Source organism: Homo sapiens, chromosome 4 (genome assembly GCF_000001405.40).
Source record: "Homo sapiens chromosome 4, GRCh38.p14 Primary Assembly".
Classification (NCBI taxonomy): domain Eukaryota; kingdom Metazoa; phylum Chordata; class Mammalia; order Primates; family Hominidae; genus Homo; species Homo sapiens.
In genome coordinates, this window is record NC_000004.12 from 173,149,846 (window position 1) to 173,170,901 (window position 21,056).

The 21,056-nt window shown below is 42.2% G+C and overlaps 1 protein-coding gene and 1 long non-coding RNA gene across 7 annotated transcripts in view, besides 5 other annotated features; one reads left to right on the top strand and one right to left on the bottom strand.

The window, feature by feature from the left end:
* Positions 1–19,807, bottom strand: part of GALNT7-DT (GALNT7 divergent transcript) — a 37,720-nt gene extending 17,913 nt beyond the window's left edge. The window contains exons 1-6 of one of the 2 annotated variants that reach the window (NR_134242.1): positions 19,019–19,807; positions 18,117–18,268; positions 16,800–16,945; positions 16,279–16,454; positions 15,133–15,287; positions 14,448–14,508 (exon numbers count right to left, since the gene is read on the bottom strand). This is a non-coding gene — a long non-coding RNA (GALNT7 divergent transcript). The remainder of the gene's footprint in view (positions 1–14,447; positions 14,509–15,132; positions 15,288–16,278; positions 16,455–16,799; positions 16,946–18,116; positions 18,269–19,018) is intronic. The other variant, NR_134241.1, reaches the window with a different exon arrangement.
* Positions 16,077–16,156: an enhancer, noted in NCBI's record as "active region_22154". NCBI's record gives its function as "activates an Ori minimal core promoter by ATAC-STARR-seq in GM12878 lymphoblastoid cells {active_cell/tissue: GM12878}" and the evidence as "EXISTENCE:reporter gene assay evidence [ECO:0000049][PMID:35858748]".
* Positions 18,235–18,334: an enhancer, noted in NCBI's record as "active region_22155". NCBI's record gives its function as "activates an Ori minimal core promoter by ATAC-STARR-seq in GM12878 lymphoblastoid cells {active_cell/tissue: GM12878}" and the evidence as "EXISTENCE:reporter gene assay evidence [ECO:0000049][PMID:35858748]".
* Positions 18,645–18,694: a silencer, noted in NCBI's record as "silent region_15803". NCBI's record gives its function as "represses an Ori minimal core promoter by ATAC-STARR-seq in GM12878 lymphoblastoid cells {active_cell/tissue: GM12878}" and the evidence as "EXISTENCE:reporter gene assay evidence [ECO:0000049][PMID:35858748]".
* Positions 18,765–18,884: a silencer, noted in NCBI's record as "silent region_15804". NCBI's record gives its function as "represses an Ori minimal core promoter by ATAC-STARR-seq in GM12878 lymphoblastoid cells {active_cell/tissue: GM12878}" and the evidence as "EXISTENCE:reporter gene assay evidence [ECO:0000049][PMID:35858748]".
* GALNT7 (polypeptide N-acetylgalactosaminyltransferase 7) overlaps positions 18,966–21,056 on the top strand; it is a 155,157-nt gene continuing 153,066 nt past the window's right edge. For all 5 annotated transcript variants that reach the window (XM_047415780.1, NM_001375599.1, NM_017423.3 and 2 more), the window contains exon 1: positions 18,966–19,116. Coding sequence is in view for 4 of the 5 variants with exons in the window: in NM_001375599.1 (NP_001362528.1) it covers positions 18,991–19,116 (126 nt within the window). In the remaining variant the exon portion in view is untranslated. The remainder of the gene's footprint in view (positions 19,117–21,056) is intronic.
* Positions 19,115–20,344: a silencer, noted in NCBI's record as "silent region_15805". NCBI's record gives its function as "represses an Ori minimal core promoter by ATAC-STARR-seq in GM12878 lymphoblastoid cells {active_cell/tissue: GM12878}" and the evidence as "EXISTENCE:reporter gene assay evidence [ECO:0000049][PMID:35858748]".

Here is a 21,056-nt window from a genome sequence, read left to right on the forward strand (position 1 = left end):
AGGATTCTGTATCCTCACAGTCTGATACAACTAGTCACTCAATACTTACTGAATACATTTATCAATAAAATCTTATGTGAATGGTAACAGTTATGACTCATTTGCATATTTTGAATAAAAGCGGAAACCTTTCCATGTTGATATATGAAAAATTGTGTATAGCATTTAAGAAGCAAGCTATACAAATGCTTTTAATACTATGAATGAAGTCTGTTTTTTGAAAAAAGCAATGGACATTCTTAGAAAGTTTTCTGGGATCTAGTCTATTGGTTGATTTTCTTTAACCTGTGCTGACAGAAAACTGCCTAATCACACTGAAAATGTCTCCTTCTGATTAAAAGTTTCATTTTTGGAATGCAATTTGCTACCTGTTCCTTTTCTGATTACCAAAAGACTAATTCTCCAAACAAGAAATGGTTCATGACTCTTATAACTTTATTAGACAAATAAATGTTCTATTTAGAACATTTCAGAAGAAAACAGAAATGTGTTGGATTTCAAGCATTTTATTTAAAATTGTGTCAATAAAAATGCAGGAAATGGGCTGGGTGCAGTGGCTCACACCTGTAATCCCAGCACTTTGGGAGGCCAAGGCAGGTGGATCACCTGAGGTCAGGAGTTCGAGTCCAGGCTAGCCAACATGGCGAAACCCCGTCTCTACTAAAAATAACAAAAATTAGCTGGGCATGGTGGTGGGCGCCTGTAATCCCAGCGACTCAGGAGGCTGAGGCAGGAGAATCGCTTGAACCCAGGAGGCAGAGGTTGCAGTGAGCCAACATCGCACCATAGCACTCCAGCCTGGGCAACAAGAGCGGAACTCTGTCTCAAAAAAAAAAAAAAAAAAAAAAAAAAAAAAAGCAGGAAATGCATTATTCTCATTTTTGCAGTATGATGGAATGGAATAAATTAAACAGGTTTACAAAGTTGCCCACATTACTTTAACATCTTCTAACATTTTTATAGCACATCCCACCGTAATATATTTATTGTTATAGTTCCCACTTGTTTGCAAGCTTCTCAGAGGCAAGGAACAATGTCCTCAATTTGTATCACTGGTACAACGCCTAGCACATAATATGCACTTATATTTTTGAGCAAAAATTAATTTGGTACCTGTACTATAAAACCGAAATTAGTTCTAAGTCTTTAAAAAATAACATTAAAAACCAAAAATTCTCTTATTGTTGGATATAACCCTGAGATCAACTTGGTTGTTTATTAAAACATTAAGCAGTGTGCATAATACCTGTTTGTAGACAGGCCTAGTTGCTTATTTTGTTGTGTCCTACTTTCAGCGAGATTACTGTAAACGAGGCCCACAACTTCATTTATAATCACCACAACTCTAAGTGTGTAACAGGCAAGCACTCAATAAATATTAACTTGTACGTTGAATGTTCAACAGTGCTTAGCACAATGTGGTACATGCCCTTGAATATACCAGATATTCAGTAAACATACATTAAATAAATCGAAGAATAGCATCCAGTAAGAGAGCACTGGCTTCTCTTTCCCCAGTCTACTTTTAGGAAAACAGATATATGTGCATTCTTAACAGTATCAGATAGGATGAGGCAAGGGACTCTAAACTGAACTCTGTATATTCTGGTGTGTTAAGCTAATCCTGGTGCTCTCTGTAGCTCTCCACACATAGTCACCTGATAGTCTGTTTTTCTCCCCTGCCCACTGTCTTTAGGATTGCCTCGAAAACCCTGGGTTTAGCTACTGCCTACCCTGGAATACTCACTCCAGCCATCCGGATTTCTTCCTATCACTGTAACTCATCTCAGGCATTCTGCACATTCTCCTTTCCACTCTATCCCCTTGCTTGGGTAATATCTGTGCATCTGCCAGTGTCCTCTTGAATGGCTCTTGTTCCAGGAAGCCTTTCTGGATCCACTAGAGTAGATTAGATATCACTAGGTGCCTCCAGCATCCAGTGCTGAATCATAAATATCTCTTATCATAGCATTCATCATATAATTTAATGTCTGCCTTCCCTATGGACCTATAAACTTTGTGGAAAGCAGAGAATTCTTCTATCTTGTCTATCATCATATCTCTAGCACCCATGTTCAATTTATAGTTAATGAAATCCAACAAACTAATCATGTCTTCAACTTGAAATAGGAGGCTCAGTAGAGTAAAGGGAACTCTAGAGTGGGAGTCTGCAGAAATGGGTTTAAATCCTATTACTACTACGGTGTGGCCATTTGCTTTGACTCTAGTCCCTTTCTTCCCCTACAAAGCAAGTTAAATAGCATAATTTAGTTTGCTCATATCACAGTTTGTGAAGCTAAGAAATACAAACACTATTGTAAATTGAAGAGGGACACTTTGGTACCCTAGAGAAAAACTGCTGTCCGCACAATGGGGCTGAAAAGGCCAACAGTTGAACAACAGCCTTTTCCATGGAGCCTGTCCCTGGCTGTGCAGTTGGAACTGCTTGCAGTGTAGTTGGCTGGGTCTGCCTCTTTGCCTCGCTCGGATGCACCAACCTGGTGATTCCTCCAGCCTGCTCACCAAAGGGGGCCGAGGGACACATCGCCTATTGTCTCCCTGGCAGTTTATGCAAGACAGAATCATTTATATAATTTTATTTATGAACTCCAGGCATTATACCTTGGCGTCAAAACAATGGAAATGTACATTTGTAGGTCTCAATGATTCCCATTTAAAGTCCAACGAGCTCAGTCAAAACAGGCTAAATTCACGATCTTTTATTTATAACTTATATCCAACGTCATAAAAGATGAGGCTGTGTAGGGTAATATACACATGAAACCAGCTGTTTAGATAATATATGAAGACACTGTTGGAGAGGGAGAACGGCATGCCAGGACATGTGATCACTGCAGCTCTGTAAGGTAGAGGTTGGGGCTCCGGCATGGGGGCGAACGGAACATTTATTATGGGCCTAAAGACAGAGTGTCTCATTCCTCTATTTTCTTGTTCTTTCTCTTTATCTTGTGGATGTGCAAATATTTGTATTTCATAAAAGGGGAAAAATCAATTCATAGTTCCTCACTAACAGGACAATACAGAAGATGGACATTTTTTCTTAGGTATCCTTTCTAATTATTCATTTTTTTTGTTCAATAATTAAAATACACCCATAAATTGAATCGCATGATGGAATGACTAGGTATAATAGAAAGTCAGTCACACCTCATTCGTAATAGTAATAAATAGCTCAGCCCATGTGTTCATAGCCATCAGTATGTAGGGAAGGGCTTATTCCAAAAGTCTGTGCTCCACAAGAATGCTAATGTTCGTTTATCAGCTGTTGTTTTACAAGATTCTGCATGGACTTTGCAGGTGGGGTTTGTGCTGAAGGTTTTTATTTGTCTTAAAAACACAGGAAAAATAAAATTATATAGATTTTCCACGTTAACCTATCTAGTGTAACTTATTAATTCATTTGGTTTAATAACTACTTGGGTATGAATCACAATTATTAGATTGCTGACTTCACCCAGTCTTGCCTTGCTCCCAATCATTTCTTAATACTTAGCATTAAGAAAATGAGACACTTAATCATAATAACCACAAAGTCAGAAATAACCTAGAAACAACATCCATATTTTCAGACATCCCATAAATCCCAAACAGGTCTCTATTGTAAGGATTTCCCCCGATCAATTCTATAAGTTCCTTTGTATTTTTTAAGTGTCTTAAAACCTAAAGTTTGCCTATTCTTTATCATCTAAAAAAAAAAACCTTCATTCAAAGTGTAAAATTAATGATTAATCTTCTTTTAGTTACTTATCTTCTCTGAGAAGAGGATTATGATCTCAAGAAACGGTAGTTACCTCTCTATTTTACTCACTTGAGCAAGGTACACACCAAAGCAATCTACTTTTAAAATGTTCCCTAATTAACCAACTTATTAAGTTTTGCCATAGAAACATTTTATGTCACATCAGTGAACTTCCACTAAAAATGGGGTGGTGGGAGAGAGATAGAGTATTAATTGTTAAAAAAAAAAAAAAAGCAAACTGGCATGCTTAAGAAAAAATCAGCCCATACAGCACCTGTTAAAGCATTCACTTTTTGGTGAATATGCACATATATATGCGCATATATAAACATGAATGCACATATATAAACATGAATGCGCACATATAAACATATGCGTGTATATATACACTATATATGCACATATATAAACATAAATATGCACATATATAATGCACACATATAAACATAAACGATTAAACTAGATCATAAATCATAAAAACTAGATGCCAGCTGGGCAAAACATATGATGTTCATGGTCCCCAAACACATACAAGTTTGAACCTAAAACATTAAGTAGGGAAGTACAATATATTATAAGTCAGTTAATCCTAAAGTGTGGTAAACCGGGGGTAAAAAGATGATTAAGTAGGCTGGGTGAGGCGGCTCACACCTATAATCCCAGCACTTTGGAGGGCTGAGGGAGGTGGATCACCTGAGGTCAGGAGTTCGAGACCAGCCTGACCAACATGGTGAAACCCCGTCTCTACTAAAAATACAAAACTTAGCTGGGCATGGTGGTGGGCGCATATAGTCCCAGCTACTTGGGAGGCTAAAGCAGGAGTATCGCTTGAACTCAGGAGACGGAGCTTGCAGTGAGCCAAGATCACACCACTCACTCCAGCCTGAGTGACAGAGCGAGACTCCATCTCAAAAAAAAAAAAAAAAAGATGATTAAGTAGATAGAACACAAACATTTAAAATTTTGATAATTACACATTTATATTTTAATATGTGTAGAAAAAATACACTGCTGTGATGTTATTGGTATTGCTGTTTAATACAATGCTAAATTTAGGTTTATAAAAAGTAAGTAATTTTAATGAAAAATATGAAAGCAATAGGATATTGCTAGTTTAGGTAGGACTGAAAATAGTATACATAGTACCAATATGAATAAAGTTCGGGAATCATTAACACAGGTAACTCACTAGTATTAATGCCACACTTATGGTATAATTTAAGTGTTACAAAACTGAAATCAAGGTAATCATATGAAGAAGAAAGTATGATAATTTGGTTCATCGGTTATCACATTTTATATGGTGTCACTAGGGAAATAACTTTCCTAACACTTTGTTCTTAGGCTATTTACACTTAATTACCCTATTCAATGGTACAATGATTCAATCAGTGAATATTTATTAAGCGTCTACTAGGAGGACAAGGTCCTCTAATAGGTAATTTTAGGGAATAGAGAAATATTTTTAAAAACACACCATTGTCTTTAAAAATTTTTTTGGTAATGCTCATTTTGAAAAGTAATAATTTCACTGTTAATAATGTAGGTACAGAAAAACATTAGGAATATTACCAGCAATCCTACTATTCAGATATAGATCAAAATGTTAATGGGTTATTTTTTTAAAGTTGTTTGAAAAATGAAAATATACAGATTTCTTTTATTAACAGAATTAGAACCAGAGTGTGTTTAGCTTTGTATCATGTTTTCTTCTCCACTTAATGGCCTATTGTTTCCTTTACTAAATATTTTTTAAAACATAAAGGAACAGATATACTGTTTAATGATTCATCTACCAATAGGCATGTGGCTGAGTTCTGGCGCATACAATTTGGGCAGAAGGCACATTTCCTGCCTCTAGGACTGACTCTTTAAACACTTCCTAGGCCGGGCGCGGTGGCTCATGCCTGTAATCCCAGCACTTTGGGAGGCCAAGGGGGGCGGATTGCCTGAGCCCAGGAGTTCAAGAACAGCCTGGGCAACATGGTGAAGCCCCGTCTCCACTAAAATACAAAAAATTAGCCGGGCATGGCAGTGGGCGCCTGTAGTCCCAGCTACTTTGGAGGCTGAGGCAGGAGAATTGCTTGAACCCGAGGGGTGGAGGTTGCAGTGAGCTGAGATTGCGCCACTGCACTCCAGCCTGGATGACAGAGCGAAACTCCGTCTCAAAATAATGATAATAATAATAATAATAATAATAATAATAATAATAATAATAACACTTCCTAGTGATCCTGCAAGTGCTCTTTTTCACCTTCCACTGCCAGCTAGTTGCAAAGCATCAGTGAAGGCCTTTGACATCCCAGGAGATAGCAGATCTACCAAATGGAGAGAGTCCCTTCCCCACCCCTCAGCAAACCCACAGAGAGAAATGGGCTGTGCTGTGATGAATTTTTATTGCATTAAGCCCCTGAAATTTTGGAGTCATCACAGCAACTATTCATTTATGTTCTTCTTCCAAGTCTTAAAAACTTCCAATCCTCTGTTCCCTTGTTTTGCAGCACTTTTTCTATGGGCCTGATTTTGATTTTTTTTTTCTTTTAATCTCAAATGAAGACGTCTATCTAGTGGTCTCCCCGCTGAGTGAATATACTTGATTTCACTTACTACCACTTCTCAAATCCAAGGTAGGAGAGTAGGTTGCCATGTACATCACCTAAGACAATTTTTAATGAAACATTTATCTAATATGATCCTACAGAATGTCCTCTTTCTCTGCCATCTATCTAGTTTTCTAACATTTGGTATCAAAAAGTCCATGAAAAGCTATAATCTTCTTGATGTTCTCCAACCAGGACACTGACGCTGTACTTTAGTGCTTTATTTGAGATGATACTTTTCAGGATGCAATGAATGACTACCTCTACGGGTGAACCACTAAAGGCTTTTGCTCCAAGAGTGATATGATTGAACTTATATTTTAGAAAAATAATTCTGGTAGTGCTAGAAATTATGGTTTTAAGAAACAGGATCCTAGAAGGTGGGAAAATGATGAAGGAAACAGCAAGGGACCCTGAATCACAGCAGTGAGAATAGATGCAAAAGTAAATACCAATGATAGAATGGTCTTGACTTGATAACAACTAAATCTGGGAGGGAAAAGTGGAGGAAACTATGGAAGATGTCAGAAATTTCTTGTTCAAGTGTCAATGGCTAAATCAGGAACCTACAAAGAACAGGTGACTCGGTGGGGAAATAAACAAATTCCATTCTGGAAATGCTGACTTCGAAGTGCTAATGGAACATCCACTGAGAAATGTCCTGTAGGTTTAATGCTCAGAAAACAACCCGTGCCAAAAGTTTAGGTGTGGGGATTATTAACATAAGTTGAAGCCTTGTGAATGGGTTAGTCCAGGAAGAGATTAAAAATTGAGGAAAAGAAAAAGAACTAGAACGGACTGAATTCTAAATGATGCCTTGTTTTTAGAGATAGTAGAATTAGGGAAAGAGACAGAAAGAATGGATAGAAAGAGAAAGAACCTGGAGCCCAGAAATCAAGAGATGAGACAATTTCAATGATAATTCCAATATGCAATTTAACCCATTTAGTAATTAAAAATTTTTTTAATTTTATTTTTTATTTCTGGAAATTAGGTCTTTTCTCAATTTTACTCATATTTTCAGGCCTCTTTTTTCACTTCTTGAAATGTATTAAACATACTTATTTTACGTTCTATGTCTGATAACTGCAACTGCTAATTTTTTATGCATCATATTTCACAGTTTATGGATTTTGCTGGCTCTCCCTTATGGCATCTTGAGTGTTCAGTGATTGTCAACCGTGAGTAACTCATTGTTTTAGAGACCACATGAACAAAACATTTTTCAAAGCATGAGGTGAAGGGGTTCTTGCAAAAAGGATTTGTATTTGCTTTTCAGACGCCTGTGCCATTATTGGCCTGGAACCACTTTAAACTTATTGTACGTTTTAAAATAACTAAGAGTATAATTGAAATGTTTATAACACAAAGAAATGATAAATACTTGAGGTGATGGATACCCCATTTACCCTGATATGATTATTACAACACTGTACTCATGTATCAAAATATCTCATGTACCATATATATATGTGTGGTATATATATATGTGGTATATATATATATATGTGGTGTATATATATGTGGTGTATATATATGTGGTGTATACACACACACACGCACACACACACACACACATACCTACTATGTACCTGTATACATAAAAAATTAAAAATAAAAGAATAGGCTGGGTACAGTGGCTCATGCCTGTAATCCCAGCACTTTGGGAGGCCGAGGCAGGGAAACACCTGAGCTCATGAGTTCAAGACCAGCTTGGGCAACATGGCAAAACCTCATCTCTCCAAAATATACAAAAATTAGCCAGGTGTGGTGGTGAATGCCTATAGTCCCAGCTACTTGGGAGGCTGAGGTGGGAGGATCACCTGAGACAGGGAGATCCAGGCTGCAGTGAGCTGTAATCGCACCATCGCACTCCAGGCTGGGTAACAGAGTGAGAACCCATCTCAAAAAAAAAATTAAAAAATAAAATGATAGAAAAAGAAACAAACAACCATCTCCCCCCAAAATTATTGCTTTAAAGTTCTTCTAGCCATCCAGATAGCATGAATTCCTGACATGTGGGCCAATTTATGATTATGAATTTCTTAGATGATGGAGTGAATACGTGTAGAGGGAGATTTCTCTTCAAAAGTTGAGGGAATGAGTTAATTTTAGTTCTCTCTCACCTTGGGGATACAGCCCTTTTGGAATCCTGGTTTTGGCAGACCTATCTGCTTTTCCATTTTGGGGAGGGCCCTCAATTTGTTTTTTGTTCCCAAACTCACAAACTGAGAATATATATGATACTCAGGTTCCTCAGTTCTGGCCAAAGCCCTTAAACTAAAAGCCAGCTTCAGTGCTCAGCTTCCCTGCCTTATCAGTCTTTGACCTTAGCATTCTTTATTTTCTTGTTACCAATGGATGCATTTAATTTTTTTTTTGAGACAGAGTCTCGCTCTGCTCTGCCACCCAGGCTGGAGTGCAGGGGCGTGATCTCGGCTCACTGCCACCTCTGCGTCCTGGATTCAAGCAATTCTCCTGCCTCAGCCTCCCAAGTAGCTGGGATTACAAGTGCACGCCACCGTGCCCAGCTTATGTTTGTATTTTTAGTAGAGATGGGTTTCACCATGTTGGCCAGGCTGGTCTTGAACTCCTGACCTTGTGATCCACCTGCCTCGGCCTCCCAAAGTGTTGGGATTACAGGTGTAAGCCACCGCGCCCAGCCTATATTTTCAAAGGCAACAACCTGTATTTAGAAATTAAATCTCCTATGCAACACTGGCAGTTTAGGGGCCAGGACAACTGATCTCACAAAAACAACTAAAAATGCCAGGTAAAATATTTTTAAATCTTTTTAAGGCCGGGTGCAATGGCTCATGCCTGTAATCCCAGCATTTTGGGAGGCCGAGGTGGGCAGATCATGAGGTCAGGAGTTCGAGACCAGCCTGGCCAAAATGGTGAAACCCCGCCTCTACTAAAAATACAAAATTAGCCGGGCATGATGGAGCATGCCTGTAATCCCAGCTACTTGGGAGGCTGAGGCAGGAGAATCACTTGAACCCGGAAGGCAGAGGTTGCAGTGAGCTGAGATCGCGCCATTGCACTCCAGCCTGGGTGACAATAGTGAAATTCCATCTCAAAAAAAAAAAAAGGAAAAGAAAATATTATATTATTTGATACATGAAAATCTAAACAAAGATGTTTAACAAAATGCCAACTAATCGCTTGCACAGTTTATTTAAATAATGTGTGATGCCAGAGCATTTCGAGTTTGCTTTACATGTTATTAATTTAACTACTTATAGAGAGCCAGGAACCAAAACAACAAGCCTAATTAGTTGGAATCATAATAGCTGAAGAATAATCAAAATATATCCCCATTCTGACATATTCTACCCACCTCTACTGTTACAAACCTACTCTATGCTATCACAATGGCCTCCTAACTGATACTTGCTTTTATCTTTTTCTTTTCCAAACCAAACCCAGAAGCCAGAGGCTGTGATCCTATTTAGATGTAAGTTAGATGACACCACCTCTGCACCAAACTCTCCGATGGCTTCCCCTGTCACTCTAAATAAGTGCCACAGTCTTTACTATGATCTAATGCTCTCCCTTCACTTTCTTAGCTACAGCTGTCCTTATGTCCTTGCTTTTCCTCAAACAAGCAGGAACATTCTTGCCTCAAGGCCTCACATTTGCTGCTCCTTGTGCTTGGAGCCATCTCCCTTCAGATACCCATTTGGCTGTGCCCTCATCTCCAGGTCTTGTTCACATATTATCTTCTCAGACTGTGTAAAATGGAATCCTCCCCTCACCCCTCTCCAGCATTCCACATTCCATTTCCCTGGCTTATTTCTCTCCATTGCATTTATCTTCTAACATGCTATCTAAATGAATGAGTTAATCTTTGTATACTCTTAGAATAAGGCTTGGCACATGGTGATACAGCAGTTTATTCAATAACAGTATGTAATAATATACATATTTGGCTTATTGTCTGACTCTATGGGGACAAGGATTTTGGCTTTTAGTTTACTGCTGTATTTCCAGCATCTAGAACAATGAATAGCACGTGACACAAGCTCAAAAAATGTTGAATAGAAATATCTAAAAATATACAAGAAAAGATTATACAAAAGGATGCCATTTGTTAAAAATAATTTTATATGGTTTGAAAAAAGAAGTTATCCCACAAAACCAAGTCCTCAAAGATCACTCTCCAAAAAAGAAATGTAATTAAAATTCAAATTTCATAACTCTTTGCAGTATGATAAAAGGTACATTTACCTAAATGGCAGTATTTTGAGCTCCCCTGAAGATCAGCACTCTTAGCTCACAACTCTGTTGTGGCTCTCCAAATAGTCATTTAATACAGAGCCACATGTTCAAATAAAAGAGAAAATGTACTTGTCATTGTTCAGTTGTTACAAACTAAAGAAAGGATGAAATTTCTGGACATTAGCAAGATGGCATAGTTGGGAAGTAAAAGGTTTGGAATTAACAGATCTCTAGTCCCTGTCCAGCCTCTTAATTCCTGGATCATTTGGGAGAATCTCTCGCATCATCTCTCTGTAGTCTGAACCTCAGTTCCTTTATTTGTGTGTAACTGTTTATGTCTCAAATGCCTAAAAAGGCTTGAAGACATACTCCATTACTAAAATAACCCAATTTTATACAAATTAATCAAAAAACGTTCAGAAGATAGTCAAGCACAGGAATGTCCCCTCCTCTCCGACTTTTTTCTCCTGTCCACACATCTTCACACACCTCCAGGGATCCTGCTTATCCAGCTATGCCCAATGTGGTTTAGCCAAACCTCTCATTTTACATATGGCAGCATGGGTTATCTGGCCTTTTCACTGACATAGTTTCTTTCTATTCCACCCCTGTTGTGTCTAAGTTATGCTCTAAGAGATAATCAGTATTAACAAGAGAGAGGCTAGTTTGTCTTATAGGTTCCCACAATAAAGAATGTCAGGTTCTAGGCATAGCTAGATAATCAGGATCTCTGGAAGGATGTGATAACAGATTGATAACTGTCTGAAACTAGTCTGCTTGCTGGTGGAGAGGTTTATGTGCACAGACTGTAAGACGACTTACAGTAATACCTTGATAAATACCAGTTTTGAAGACTTTCAGGTCATTTAACTAACCACACTGCTGAGAACCTGAGTCTTTCTTCAGTGCATTTCATACCCTAGTTTTAAGAAATTTGAGCATTTTAAAGGAAATTAGAAATTTGAGTCTAGCCAAATCTCTTAATCTGCATATAGCAGGGCAGGTTCTCTAGCCCTTTCACTGACAGAGTTCCTTTCCATTCCACCCATTATTTAGAAGTTATGCTCTAAGAGATTATCAATAGTAACAGAGAGAGGCCAGTTTGTCTTATAGGTACTGGGTTCCCACATGAAAGATATGAGGTTGTGGGCAATGCATTTTCCCTTCAGTGAGCCAACAGGCAGTTTCAAATAGCTATCAGTTTATTATCTAGGAATTACAGTACTCTTTTTGGTCAGGTAAAATGTAGAATACTGTACCCTTCTTCCCCAACACCCAAATAAAGGCAAAACCATCTACCTATAAAATGCTTCTGCAAATCATTTAGATATTATCATATTTTAAGAGCTATTAAAGAATGCTTCTTAAATAAGAAGACTACCGAATTATAGAAGTCCAAAAACAGTACCAAATTATGAAGAGGTGGTGTTCCACACTGTGAAATCTGAGGGCTTTTAAATTAGTATTTTTACTTATGCAACTCCTTTTTCCCCACGCTTAACAGTGAACACAGGAAATATATTTTCACTTGTTCAGTCTCTTAATACTGAGCATCTCTTCTGTGCCAAGCATGGTCAACATCTAGAGACACAATGCCAAATTCGAACATGGTCCTTGCCCTTAAGGAACTTGGTCTAGGCCAGGCGCGGTGGCTCATGCCTGTAATCCCAGCACTTTGGGAGGCCAAGGCGGGCGGATCATGAGTTCAAGAGATTGAGACCATCCTGGCCAACACGGTGAAACACCATCTCCACTGAAAATACAAAAATTAGATGGGTGGTGGCGCATGCCTATAGTCCCAGCTACTCGGGAGGCTGAGGCAGGAGAATCGCTTGAACCCGGGAGGTAGAGGTTGCAGTGAGCTGAGATGGGGCCACTGCACTCCAGCCTGGCAACAGAGCAAGACTACGTCTAAAAAAAAAAAAGAAAAGAAAAGAAAAGAAAAGAAAAGAAAAGAAACTTGGTCTATATGCTCTGAGGGAGAACTTACAGGGTGCTTTGAGAGCATGAAGGAGGGTCTTCTAACCTAGCAGTGGGATCGGGGACTGAAGACAATTAGAGGTTTCTGAAAGAACTGATGTATAAATTGAAATCTGAAGGATTATCAGGGAGTTCATGGGAGAGGGGTTGGTGTAAGAACCACAGAGTGTTCTAAGCGAGAGAATAACACACACAAGGTCTAGAAGTGAGAGGGAAGTTAGCCTATTTCAGAAATGGAGAGAAAATCAACATGGCTATAGTTTAAGTTGCAAAAGAGGGGATAACTGACCAGCCATGGGGCTGCAGAGGTAAGCAGAGGCAAGCTCACAAAGGCTTTGTAATAAATGGAGGAATTTGGGCTTAAATATAAGAGCAATGGGAAGCTGTTGAAGAGGTTTTAAACAAGAGTGGTAAGAGACAAAATCCGTTTCAATCACCTCTTAAATAAATGGTTAGATCAGAAGAGCACTTCTGAATTATGGGAGTCCAAAAACAGTACCAAATTATGAAGAGGTAGTGTTCTACGATGTGAAATCTGAGGGCTTTTACATAAATATTTTTGCTTTCCAAACACTGTAGGAGACCCTTAACCTCATTAAATGGAAGCCCTTGACAACAGTCCTTTATTCCAGATGAGCACAACTCAGGAATTATCCATCTCAAGCTTATGATAGAAATAGTACCCCATGTCAGAAAAAAAGTACAAAGGCAGGATTTTACCTCATAGTATTCCACATGAAAGCACAAATTAGTCTCAATCACACATCGGCATCATAGGAAAATCTCAGAATTTCAGTATTGGAAAGAATGTTAAAGATCATTTGGTCCAACACCTTCATTTTACAGATGAAGGCAGTATACAGATTATTTCTTATACAAGACTGTGGATTCTGCCTTGGGCTCTCTCTCCCTCAGATCTTTCATGAAGGGGGGAAGTCAGCTTGGCATGTCATGAGTAGCCCTGTGGAGAAGCCCAGGTGACAAGGAACTGAAGCCTCCCACCGCCTGCCAGTGAGGAACTGAGGCCTGCCTGCTGGCCATGTGGGTGAACTTGACAGCAAATTCTCCAGGCCCAGTTGGTTATGATAGTGGTCCCAGCTGATAGTTTGGTAAGAACCTCATGAGAGACCCTGAGCCAGACCACCTTGTTAAGCCACTCTTAGATTCCTGACTTCAGGAACTGTGTGAAGTAAATGTTTGTTGTTTGAAAGTGCTAAACTTTGGAGTCATTTGTTAAGCAGTAAGAGGTAACTAATGAACAGTACACAAAATTAATAAATTCTTAACAAACTTACACTATGCTTCCCTTGATATCTAAATAGTAGTTATTTTCTAAACAATAAAATGTATCTTCCTTTAAAGATACTACCAATTGTGCTCTTCTTCTTTGAAAAGAGGTGATTAAATGGCTTATAGAATAGGTGATAGGATATTTAGTCATTTAGAGGTCACTGACTCTAATTTAACCTGAGTTCTTGGCAACCACACATAGATAATACTGAAATTTGTTTGCAAATAATTCCCTATGGCTACATATTCCCATTTTAATGTAGCTGTTTTTTTTAAATCTCCGTACATACAAAAATATGAACTTAAATTAAAATTACCCTTTCTTCTTAGTTCTAAGCAGCCTTAGTAGGATGCTGAGTAAGGGGGAAACAACAGCCTATCAATTGATGATGATGACCATATGTAAAATAATCACTTTTCTAATTTAATAAAACCTCCAAAGTTTTGTCCTTGGAAGAAAAACCTCCCAGTGAGGAGGAATAGCAATTGAAGTAAACCTGGCCCCTCTTCTAAGTTTTGTCTGCCTTTTATATTTTCAATCCCATTATTCATTCAGCATTCCATCAAGAAATACTCACTGAGCCCTTTCCACATACCAGACACGGATAACAATAACGAACTAGATAGACAAGGCTCCACCTTCATACACATTTTTATCTGGGTATAGGAAAAAGAAATTAAGCAATTACAATATAGTGGTAATCATTAGGGAAGAAAAGTAGAGGGTGCAGTGGAAGTACCTAGCAGGATACCTACCCTAGTACATTGGTGGGAAGAGATATAGGGGTGTGGAGTGGGACATGTGAGAGAGTCTAGAAAAAGCTTTTTTGTAACTGACATCTAAGCGTAATGTTAAGATGTCAGAAGGTATTTCAGGCAAAAAGAACTCCCCGTACAAAGGCCTGAAGGTAAGTGAGTTACATTTAGAAACTTAGAAGTTCAGCTTGGCTGCAGCATAGCATTGGGGTAGTGTAGCCCCAAAATGGATACAATTCCCTCTGCTGGGCTTCCCTGTAACAGAGTTGACATGGTGGAGAAATTAAAAAATAACAAAGCTTTAGGCTCTGACCTCTTGCACATTATGCTGCCTGAAAACATTTATGTTCCAGATGCAGAAGGCTAATCAGTCTGGCAAGAATTCTGAGGTTGGAAAAACCTGCTTTGAATCCCAGCTTGAGACCAGTAATACCCACAACAGGTTGTGTAGAGGTTAGGTGAAATAATAAATGTGAAGCATCTTACACACACTAGGTGCTCAAATAATTCTCTCCCTTCAGTTACCTTGCTTCTGAGCCCCCAGCTGGACTCTGAGCTGAGGACACCATGTCACCATCCACCACACATGACCCCATGACTTGGCAGAGGACGATGCTTTTCTTGGCCATCTCTATGTCCATCTCATTCAGTTCTAGTCTCTACCCTCTTCTTTAGAGGAACTGCAGCATTCATAAAACAAGAATTATAGCCACACGCACCTGAGACTTGTTCCATTACACTAATTGTACTTTATATTTGTATATGTACTTGATCTCAATTATTCCTTTTGAGAACATCATAAGGTTGAGTATTGTAATCACTATTTGGCAGATAAAAGCCCTAGGTTCAGAGAGGTACGTGATTTATCTTGACTGAAGCTTTGAATGTAGCTCCTCATTTTCTAAACGAGTTCTGTCAACCCTACAAAGGCTGCCTCCCAGCAAATACTGCAATGGGCATATGTTTTAAGGTATATTTGCACTTTTTTTAAACTTTTAAGTTCAGGGGTACATGTGCAGGTTTGGTACATAGGTAAACTTGTGTTATGGGGGTTTGTACAGATTATTTCATCACCCAGGTATTAAGCCTAGTACCCACATTAGTTATTTTTCCTGATCCTCTCCCTCCTCCCACCCTCCACCCTCCAATAGGCCCCAGTGTGTGTTGTTCCCCTCTATGTGTCCATGTGTTCTCATCATTTAGCTCCCACTTATAAGTGAGAACATGCAATATTTCGTTTTCTGTTCCTGTGTTAGTTTACTTGCAGTTTCTTTTAAAAGTTATTAAGACTCAGAGAAACATAAACTTTTACAACTATATACCTATTCATCAATATACAACTGTATAACTATATACTCTTTCACACATATTTTAAGTTCTCTGTGTAAAACTAAAGTTGGGGGGTGGTAGTGGTGGCAGGATGTTCTCAGAATACTAGGGCCTTCAAAGGACCATCCTCAATACTTTGATGATAGGTATCACTTTCCATTTGCATACTTGCCCAGCTATGCTCATAACAGTAAAAATAAAGCTTCCTACCTTCTTAAGAATAAAAAACTGTCTCCCCTGTGAAAATAACACAAGTGAAAGACTTAATTATTCAGGTGGACTTCAGCTGCTGATTTCAAATGGAATTATTCTCTTATGATCACAGGATGCCTTGTAAGTTACCTGTTTCAAGCCCAGTCTCTGCCTAGGGAACTGTCTCCTATGAAAAGGAGTCCGGGTGGACCATGGTGGCTCATGCCTGTAATACCAGCATCTTGGGAGGCCAAAAAGGGAGGATCGCTGGAGGCCAGGAGTTTGAGACCAGCCTTGACAACAGGACCAGATAATAGACCCCGTCTCTACAAAAAATAAAAAAAAAATTAGCTGGGCATGATGACTCACACATGTGGTCCTAGCTACTCGGGAGGTTGAGGTGGGAAGATCACTTGAGCCCAGGAGTTCCAGGCTGCAGTGAGCTATGGATGTGCCACTGCACTCCAGCCTGGGTGACAGAGCAAGACCTCAACTCAAAAAAAAAATAAATAAAAAAGAAAAGGAGTCCACCTCACTTCTGAACAGTTCAAGTTGAGTCCATAAATGAGCCTATTTCTGTCTTCCAAAGATATCCATATAAGACTTTTCCCAACCACCCCCCGCAACCTTGCTTCCTTTCAGTGTTTCTCCAAAGGTGGTGCCCAGATTACCTGGATCAAAATCACCAGGGTACTGATTAACAGGAGATTCCTGGGTCCCAACGCTGACCTGAATCATCACCAAGAAATGGTGCATTCGCTTTTCATATCACATTACCCAGCAGATTCATACTTCGTGAATTACACACTCTAGATCTCTGTCACACAAAAAAAATGGTCTTAGGCAAAATCTCTCATCTTCTACTTAAAACAACTGGTTTTAACCTAAGGGGCTGATATAAATGCTAAGTCAAGCAGTGATTTGTGTTTAACACTTGACAGTCCCTCTTCCAGGTACTCTATATAGTGGACTTTTATACAATATGATGTACAGTCCTTCAGCCAACCAATAATACACCTAACTACAATCCATTCTACATTTCCGGAACCATGCTGTTCATGAGGATATCACTTCAGATATTTTGTGGAAATTTTGAAATTATGGCATCTACAGAACTCCCTGATATACTAGCTATTGTAAGCCAAGCCAAAAAGCACATGAAGGTAGTTTGGTATAATTCTTTATCTATCTTGATAATTGAAATTGTTTCACTGTAAAACTTTACATAACTGAGCTTTGTTTTAAAGCAAAAAACTTGCAGATGTGAGACAGTACGAGAAAAAAGAATCAGCTGTTACCATCTTAAAACTTAGGATAGCCTAGGTGTGGTGGCTCACAGCTGTAATCCTAGCACTTTGGGAGTACGAGGCAGATTGCCTGAGCTCAGGAGTTCGAGACCAGCCTGGGCAACACCGTGAAACCTCGTCTCTACTAAAATACAAAAAAAAAAAAAATTAGCTGGGCGTGGCGGTGTGCACTTGTAGTCCCAGCTACGGGGGAGGCTGAGGCAGGAGAATTGCTTGAACCCGAGAGGTGGAGGTTGAGGTGAGCCAAGATCGCACCACTGCACTCTACTCCAGCCTGGGTGACAGAGTGAGAGACTCCGTCTCAAAAAAAAAAAAAAAAAAAAAAAAAAAAAAAAAAAAAAAAGAAAAGAAAAAAAACCCCAAAAAACTTAGGATAAAATCTTAAAACGTTTTGTTCGACTTAAATTTAAATTAGCAGTTTAGGATATAGTACACTGATAATGTAATTACATACATTCTGCTATAAAGGCATAGACATCTTTATTGGGAGATATGGGCAGAAAAATTATTTCCTCAGGGTGGGGCATTTGGCTAAACACTTGCCAATATCCTTTACTGTGTAATTTAGGTAACACAGGCAGAAAAGGCGTTTGAAAAGCAGAAATCAAGTGGCAAATATCAGATCTGAGGGACGCAATGAGGGTGGAGTTGAAATCCGTGGTCCTTGGATTTGAAACTTACCAGCCCGTGAACAAGGTTGGTATTGCTTTTGGCATAAGACGACAGCCTTTCTTTTCATTAGCTCAGGAGGAATACTGGCTTTCCAAGTGAGCTCCTCCAATCCAGTGATATTTGCACATCTCACCTGGGCCTTTCGGTTACAAATTCACCACCTTAAGGAGCCGTGTGAAAAAGCAAGAACAATCAATAAGAAGGAAAAAAAAAAACCCTTCAGCTATAAATCAGCCACGTGGAGCTGCTGCAGCAGCAGCGGTAGTCCCACTTCCTGGTTGGCTTCCTGAAAGCCTCTCGACAAGGGGCTCAGGGAAGTGGGTCTAAGGGAGAGGTGCAGACGAGAGCGACTCCAGGTCCAACGGAGGGGGCGGCGGGCCACGGGATCCCGGAGGGCACAGGCGTTAAGGACGGAGTTATTGTCCATAATTACAATAAAAGTTTGGGGATCTGAAAGCTTTAAGGAGCTGAGCTGCAGGGCAAAGGCTAAGAACCGGACTCGGGAAAAGTGCAAGTTAGTTACAAGGTAGCAGGGACTGTGAAGGGGGCTCGCGTGGAGAGCAGGGGACTGCGGATCTGGAAGGGGGCAGGTAGAGAGGAAGGCAGCCTGGCAGAGCGAGGCACACGGGTCAGTCGGAGCTCTGCGGTGGCCGCCAGAGGGGAGGGGGCCACGGGGAGGAGCGGAGGGAAGAGCCCGGGGAAAGGTGTAGCCGAGGGGAGTTCCGGATCTGGAGCTGGAAAGGGCAGGCAGCGGAGAGGGCGGCAGCCGTAGCGGTAGGGGTGGGGGAAAGAGGGGGAGGAGAGCCGGAGGAGGGGGAAGGAGGGAGGGGAGAGCGGTGGCGGCGGCTGCGCCGGGCTGTGAGTCTCTCGCCGCCGGAGGAAGATGAGGCTGAAGATTGGGTTCATCTTACGCAGTTTGCTGGTGGTGGGAAGCTTCCTGGGGCTAGTGGTCCTCTGGTCTTCCCTGACCCCGCGGCCGGACGACCCAAGCCCGCTGAGCAGGATGAGGGTGAGTGACCCGCCCGGCCCCCTCCGGCGGCAGCGACCGGCAACTTGTTTTGTTTGCCCGCGTGTGGAGGGAGCAGGGGCGGCGGGGTCGCGGCACGGCGTGGGCACCGCAGCTCCGCAGGTGGTGCTGGCGCAGCGCGGGCCGAGGGGGTGCCGAGCCCCGCGCACTCCGACCTCCCTGGCCGCCGCCGGCCCGCCCCCTCGCCGCCCCTTCCTCCGCTCTTCCCCGCCCCGGGCTCCGTCGCCGACACCCGCGCTGCCGCGGCAGCGGCTCGGGCGGCCGCTCTCCGCGCCGGGACTGCGGGCGGAGCGGGCGGAGAGCCGGGTCCGGGGGGCTGCGGCCGCCCGGCGTCCCGCTCTGGGGGGCCGGGACCGCAGCGCTCACGGCCCGGGGACGCGGGGTTGGTCCAGGCTGCGGCCTGTGGCGCGTGCAGGCCTGAAGGAGGCGAGATGCCGATGCCGCCACCGCTGGTCCGGTGGACCAGGCCCCTTGGTCCAGCCTCCCCTCCCGCAGCCGCCCGTCTGGGGGTGTTCGCAGCCCCGGGCTCCCCCGGCCCGCCCGCCGGGGAGTGGGAGGGCGATGGCGCCCCGCCTCCGGCTCTTACGGAGAGCGCGCCTCCCCCTCAACTCCGGCGGCGGGGAGCCGGGGTGCGATGCGCGGCCGAGGCCTCGCCCGGACCGCCGGTCCCCCTCGCGTCCCTGGGCGAGGGAGGGGCGGTTGGCCGGAGATGGCGGAGGGGCGTCCCCGCCCCGCCTGCCCGCCGCCCCCAGCCCTCAGCGCCTGGGGAAGCCCCTGCTGTGGCAGTGCTCGGGCGCTATCCGGGGGAAGAGGAGCAGTTCCTCTTCCTTGGCTGCGGCAGGGCTGCTTGGGCCGGAAAACTAACTTGTGTCGGCGCCCGGCCGCCCCGCGCCGGCTGCCGGCTAGCTCAGGCCGACGCCGAGGGGAGCGGCGGCGCGGAGCTCGCGGCGGCTCCGCTGGGACGCATTTGTCTGCCGCCCAGGGCGCGAGTGTTAGCGCTGACATTCCTTGGATTTGGAGGGTTTAGTCAGGCGCCTCGGAACATTAGTTACCCGGAGCCGCGCCGCGCGGGGAAGGGACCGCGGGCACTGCGGCTTCCCTGACCCGGCAGCGGGCGGCGCGCACCGGCCTCGCCCCCGACCCTGACCTGCTTCCCCCCGGATGAACCGTTGCACCACCTGCTTCCTCCTCCCCGCTGGGACAGCCAACTGGGCCGGCTGCCAGTGGGGGTAGGAGAGGGTATGAGGGGCTCACGACCGCCGAGGCGGCGGGGCTGCAGGAGGAGTCGAGTCGCTCTCTCTGTTGTAAAGTGCTTTTTGCAAGTGTGATGAGCATCGCTTCTATGTCATGTTTATTTAACTTTCCTTCTGGAAAGTTAGCATCAAGAAGTTGGGCAAAAAGGCTTGTGGCGTCCTTTCAAGAGTAAGAATCCTAGGAGGAGATCCCATTATCAGCTCTTCGCCTATATCATGAGATTAGATGTAATCTGGAAGTTTTAGTATTTGAAGTCTCTACAGCAGTGGAATCCCTTTGTAATATCTGGGATAGATTCCCATCTAAGTCATCTAAATTGATGGTAATAAAAAGTATCAGTTTTCCTTTTCAGTACATTTGCGGTTTTAAGCTTCTCAGCTCATGGAGTGATGGTGATCTTTTTATAATTTTGCTCTCAATATGACTTATTGACAAAGGATAACTGAATATTGCAATTGAGGATATTTGTTTTAAGTCATCAAATGGCTTTTTACATGTAGCTAGAAATGTTTAACCCCCTATTTTCTGGTAGAGAAACTGACGAAAAACTGACAAAACTAGCTAGGTTCAGAATGTCCCGCCCTTCTGATGATCTTTTAAAGAGGTGGCGGAACATCAGCATCACTTGCCAACTCGTGGAATATTTTATTAGTGCAAACAAAGGATGG